The sequence below is a fragment of the Homo sapiens genome, chromosome 14 (assembly GCF_000001405.40).
Source record: "Homo sapiens chromosome 14, GRCh38.p14 Primary Assembly".
Taxonomy (NCBI): Eukaryota; Metazoa; Chordata; class Mammalia; order Primates; family Hominidae; genus Homo; species Homo sapiens.
This window is the reverse complement of record NC_000014.9, coordinates 97,397,525-97,404,094: the sequence shown is the minus strand read 5'-3', so window position 1 is coordinate 97,404,094 and position 6,570 is coordinate 97,397,525. Positions and strand designations below refer to the sequence as shown.

Here is a 6,570-nt window from a genome sequence, read left to right as displayed (position 1 = left end):
TCAAAATTTAACCCACAAGGTCTTATTCCACGGTTTGCAAAGCATTTTCCCACCAGTGATTTCTTTTAGTCATCTGAAGGGCCTACAGAAAAGAAAAATTAGGGGTCACTATCCTGCTTTTATAGGTAGAGAAACTGAGGCACAGACAGGTGTGATGATGTACATCACCCATTCAGACCTTGTTCCAGACACCATCCCGCCACCCAGGAAAGCAATGGATATATAGAAAAAACTTAGGAAGATCTCATGGGAGCTGGAAAACCTAAAAGAGGGCACTAGAAATGGCCATGCTGAAAACCAACAAGACAACACAAAAGCAAGTTTTTCTACCAAATTGCAAAAGGGATTTAGACTCCACTGGCTTCTCTCGGCCAGGAGACATCCTCGGTTCCTGCCCATCACGGTAAATATCAGGGCAGGAGCGGTCGCACGGGCGGGACTCTCTATCACCAACGAGCTACTTAAGGCTTCTCTTATGGCCTAATAAAGTCACTCAAAGAAGAAGAAGGTACAATTAAGCAATAATGACCCGGGCAGAAGTCTTTCTGAGATGCATAATGGGATGTTAAAGGCTCAAGTCTTGACCCTCTAGTTGGCCATTATGAGGCTGGTGAAGACAGATAAACAGATCATTACAGCTCATATAAAGTTCAGAAGTTAATTTAAAACACTACTGTTCATCACGCTTTAGCCCTGCCTCTCCCACTCATAAAAACATAGCGAGGCTTGCATGAGTCTTAGAAGATATTTCTATCTTTTTCTTTTTTTTTTTTTTTTAACATTTTGAGAATTTAGGTTACCATTAGGAACAGCGAAACTAAACAAGTTGAGGTTGGTTTTGTTTCCAAGTGTCCCTGACCCATTGGCTCTGCAAGAAAGGCCACTCCCTGACCCCAACCCCAAAGCCCCCACCTACTACTCATCCATCACCTTTCCCAACTTAGGCTCCTATGGGGAAATCGCTCCTTGACATAATTCCTGATTGAACTAGTGATGGCTTCCTTCTCTGTATGAGTGTGTGTGTGTGTGTGTGTGTGTGTTTATATGTGCTGTTTTGTTGTGTGCAATTGTGTGTGTTCACTTGTATGAGTGTGTTTTATATGTATTTATGTGTTTGTATGAATGTGCTTGTGTACGTTTGTGTGGGTTTGTGTGTCTTTGTGTATGTGAACATATGCAAAATTGTGTATTGCGGGGAGATGGATGTTGAAAAGAGGGGATCAAATGAAGAAGAGAGGTGAGTACTGAGAAATTAAAAATCAGAGAATCCTCAAGGCTGGTCTGGGGCCTCTGCACCCCAGAAAGCAAACCAGAATGCCCAGCCACTTTTTTCCAGTAAATAATTATTGCGTGTCTGTTGCAGGCACTGGCACTACAAAATGGGCTTGTGTTCTCTTTGGAAGAAGAGAGAAAACAAAAATGCAAAAATATAAAAAAACAAGGCCATCTGAGTTTTCAGTGGGTGCAAACAGGGAAATGATACAGCATGATTTGGTTGAGAATGGTTGGATAGTTAGGACAAATTTAGATCTCCTGGTTAAGGGAGTAGTGGCATTGGAGGTGACACCCCAGTGACAAGAGAGACCCTGGCAAGTGGAGATCAGAGGTCAAAGTCCCAGGCTGGGAGCAGCACGTGGCTGTAAAATGAGCACAAGCTTGGAATGTTTATTGAGTTTTATAACTCTTCTTCTTCCTTTCACTCTTACCTTCCCCAGCCTTTAAAAATTCTTTGCTGCTGTTGTTTTTGTTAATAGTGAGCCTGATCTCTTCTGTACTACAGAGACTAAAAAATTGCCATGACCAAACGTGTTCCATGTGGTACAGGGGAGCCAGCGACAATTCCAGAGCAGACCTAGGTCAGCACTGCAATCCAGGAAACTCGCCTCTCATACATTTCATGGAGCATAGCTCAGTACTAGGCCTGCTGTCAGGATTCTTCAGAGACCTGTTAAATTATATTCCTGCCTTACATTGCAGAAGTTCTGGGTTCATTTCAGGCTCTTCTCTCCTGCTTGGCAGAAACTGAACGATCAGCAGTCAGACAGAGAGAGAGGAACTAAGACAAATTAAGAGAAAAATAATCGCAGGATACAAATGAAGGCACCTTTGACTGACAGAATGGTGTACTCCCCTGAGCTAGTGCGTGGAGAGTCAACCCCGTGTCCCTCAGGAGGTGACATAGCGTTTGTGGAGGAGGCTGCCACCCCCACATCTCACTGACTGACATGCCTCGGCAGAGACACTCCGGAGCACACCCTGCCTCACCCTTCAGAGCTCCTAGAAATACCTGGCACTGGAGCCAGCATCCCCTCAGGTGTAGGTAAACCACAGCCAATCAGGAGATGGCATGATGCTGACTCTTCTGGATGAAAGGAAGCTCTGGGCGCGGTGGTCCCAGGATCTTGCCAGGGGCTCCCAGGCTAGAGACAAGGCTCTCCTGAGAAGAAGGTGGAGTGAATAGAAACTTTAAGGGCCTCTCAGAAGAGAACAAGCTTGTTGACAACTTGAGAAACTCTGAAACTGTAGGCAAACACTGATGTTCATAGGCATGGATCCTAGAAGAGAATCTAGAGTTTTCAACAGATTCTCTGGGGAGCCTGTGATCTCCAAAATACAAAGAACGTCTGTAGACATTGTTCTCTCTGCTAATCAAGACCCACTCTCCTCAACCTCCCCTCCTAGAGACTATTCTTCTTTCAAGACCAAGACCCCTTGTGTCTCTCCATGAAACCTTTCCTGACCATCCCATCCTTCCGTCTTTGAGTTGACCCAGCACAGAGTTCTCTCGTGTATACTACTCTGCGTGGTAACTGATTATTTTCGAAGACCATCTTCCTCCTCAGAATGTGATCCCTCAAGGACCCCCACAATATTTTATTTGCACTTCCACACCTAGGGTCCACTACACTGCCCTGTGCTTACTATGTGTTCAATAAGTGTTTCTGTGAATAAATGAATTCAATCCTGCTTCAATAAAGATACCATTTGGATGTACCACCCTGGACCTGCCTGTTCTCATCCAATGACATCAGAATAAACACTCACATGTGGCCTCCTTGACTTTGAAGAGCAGCCAATGCCCTCACTGTCTCTGGATGGGGCATCTTTGTGGCATCTCCCTGGACCACCTTAGGGCTTCTTCAGCACAAAGAACCCTTATGGAAATCAGGCAGAAGGTGTGGCATCTCCCAGGACCACCTTAGGGCTTCTTCAGCACAAAGGACCCTTATGGAAATCAGGCAGAAGGTGTGGCACATATGTTCCTTAAAAGTCAAATTCCTGCCTTCAATTGTAAATTAGAATTGGATTGTTGAGGAGGTGGAAGAAGGTGTCTTATAAATGAATTGCACTGGTGTTAACTGAATCCTGTCCTAGCAAAATGAACTTTCCATCATGCTTGCTGTTTGAGATGACAGGTCTGGGGGCCATGGGTCCTGTTTATCATCACCAATAAATATGCCTGCCACTGTTGTCATTCCTTTGTTCTGCTAGATGGCATTATTGGCTTAAATTCTTCACTGTTTCCTGCTTCCACGCCTGTCCCATGACCTACCTCCTCAAGGGTAGAATGGACTTGACTTTGGTCTTGGCCACCAGATTTACTTTGGCTGACATTGTATGGGCAAAAGTGACAGCATGCCAGTTCTGAGCCTAGGCCCAAGAAGCTTCCTGTATTTCTGCTTGTTTCTTGGCTCTTTTGCCACTACCAAGAGAAGAACATGCATGGCCTGGAGGAGAGGACTGGGGCTGTCCCAGCCAACCCAGATCTGTGATGAGAAGCAGTGCCACCCAGCTGATTCCTAAATGAGCCACAGATGCATGAGCAGTAAATGTTTATTGTTGTAAACCATAAGATTTTGTGGTTGCTTGTTACACAGCATCGTTGTTGCAACAACTAAACTGATACATCCCTGATTTCTTAGTCCATTTGGGCTACTACAACAAAATACTTTAGACTGCATAATCTATAAATGGCATAAATTTATTGTTCATGGTTCTGGACACTGGAAAGTCTAAGACCAAGGCATCAGAAGATTCAGTGTCTGGTGAGGGATTGCACTCTGCTTCAGAGACTGTGCCTTCAATCTCACATGTTAGAAGAGAGGGGAGTAAGCACTGTGTCCTTACATGAGAGACAGAGGTAAGGGGCCCTCTCCAGCCTCTTTTATTAGAGCACTAATCCCATTCGTGAGAGTGGAGCCCTCATGACTTAATCATTTCCCAAATACCCCCAACTCTTAATACCATCATGCTGGATAATGGGTTCAAATATATAAATTTTGAGGGGACACTGATATGATTTGGGTCTGTGTCTCCACCCACATCTCACCTCGAATTATAATCCCCATGTTTCAGGGGAGGGACCTGGTGGGAGGTGGTTGAATCATGGCGGTGGGGGGTTCCCCCATGCTGTTCTCATGATAGTGTGTCCTCACAAGATCTGATGGTTTTAAAGTGTTTGGCAGTCCTCCCCCACCTCTCTCTCTCTCTCCTGCTGCCATGTAAGATGTGCCTTGCTTCCCCTTCATCTTCCACCATGATTGTAAGTTTCCTGAGGCCTCCCCAGCTATGTGGAACTGTGAGTCAATTAAACCTCTTTCCTTATAAATTACCCAGTCTCAGGTTGTTCCTTATAGCAGTGTGAAAACAGACTGGTACAGACACCAACATTCAGACCATAGTATCTCAATTTCTTTTTTATTGCTACGCAACAAATTGCCACAAATTTACCAGCTTAAAACAATACAATTTAATTAATTACTCACAGTCTCCCTCAGTGAGCAGTCTGCTATCAGCTTGATGGGTCCTTTTCTTGGTCTTGCCAAGCTAAAATCAAGGTGCAGTTGTTAGGCAGAACTGTGATCTCATCTAAGGCTCAGATTTCTCTTCCAAACTCATTGGTTGTTGACAGAATTCAGTTCCTTGTGGTTGTGGGGTTCTGCTCATGTCCTTGTCCCCTGCTCTCATCCATAGATCCATCACAAAATGGCAAGAAGATTCCTCCAGGGCAGCAGGAGAATCTCTGTTTTTAAAAACTCACAAGATCATGTAAGGTGTACTTAGGACCATCTCCCTTTTGACTGACCTTAAGTCAACTGATTGAGAACGTTAATTACGCCTGTAAAATTCCTTCATCTAGCAGTGTAACCTCCTCAGTGAAGCAGCATTCATTGTATTCACAGGCTCTGTCCCATTCAAGAGGAAGGAAGTTTATAGGGTGTGTGTGTATGCCAGGAGGACAGGAATCTGGAGATACATCTTAGAATTCTGCGTTTCATAATCCTCAATATCTAAAGATAGGCAGAACCATGCTTTCACCTTGCCAACCGTTGTTTGTGAGAGTTTTATTTTGGTGGTCAAAGGGTACTTCCATCTTCATATGTGAATAAATTTTGTTGTTGTTTTTTTTTTCCTTCATCTTCTCCCATGGGAGTCTGACCACATGAATTTCTAGGCTGTGGGAATACCCAGCCTGCCCCCAGAGACCAAACTCCAGCCCCAATAGATCTTTGCAGGAGTTCAGGGAAAAAGGTCAACAGGCAGAGAGGACATGGAACACCTGAGAAAAAGGTGTCAGAAAAATGTGGGTCCTGGAGCTCAGTGAGCCACATCCACAAGGCCCCTGCATTAGAATGCCCTGGGTTTGGTCAGTCCCAGACCTGATAGCATGTCCACTACACTTGGTGACATCAAAGTGAGTGGATGCAGAATATATCTGATTTTGGAGTCAGAGATAATCCCATCTCCTGGGTTTACAACGTTCAAATTACAACCAATTACATTAGACATACACACACACACATACACTCACACAAAGGATGAGTTCCTAACATTTCTGTAGTGAGCATTGATTTGTGTGTGTGTGCTCTGGAGTTGGGCATCCACGGTTTCATCTTGTCTCCACGATTTATTGACCTTGGGAAAGTCATCTAACTTCACTGCACTTCAGTTTCCTTACCCATAAAAATAACAAAAGTAATAGTAGAAATAATAATAACAACCATAACAATGCCTGCTATATACATAGAGTTGTAATGATTAAATGAAATAATAGATGCAGTAAGACTGGAGCAATCTTTGGCTTGTACAGAGACCTTGATCAATGGCAAAGTCAGATTTCTATCATTCACTCCTTCCTTCCTTCCTTCCTTTCTTCCTTCCTCTCTCTCTCTTTCTTTCTCTCTCGCTCTTTTTCTTTCTTTCTTTCTTTCTTTCTTCCTTTCTTTCTTTCTTTCCTCTTTTGTTGATCACAGTGTCACACCATGCTAGACACTGGGAAAATGTAAGTAAACTTTGACACAATCCATACTCTCAGAGACATGAAGTTCAGTGGAAGAGACAGAATAAAAGAACCACTTCAATGTAATGCATTACATTTTATTTATTTCCCTAAAGAGAAAGAGGAAAAAACTTAGAAGCTTAGAAAAATTCTAGGAAGGTAAATGAACAAGGATGAAAATTCAGGATGGAAGGGAAGACAACACAAAGAGAAAGGAGTGAAGAGAGCACATTAATTCTATATTTGCATCTCATGAAACGCTGTTCTTGCTCCTGGCTTTCATTTTAAAT

The 6,570-nt window shown here is 43.6% G+C and overlaps 1 annotated feature.

Moving 5' to 3' along the window:
• Positions 1 to 1,200: an enhancer, noted in NCBI's record as "BRD4-independent group 4 enhancer chr14:97869232-97870431 (GRCh37/hg19 assembly coordinates)". NCBI's record gives its function as "activates an origin of replication core promoter dependent on BRD2, P300/CBP, MED14 and CDK7 cofactors, and independent of BRD4, by STARR-seq in HCT116 cells {active_cell/tissue: HCT116}" and the evidence as "EXISTENCE:reporter gene assay evidence [ECO:0000049][PMID:35650434]".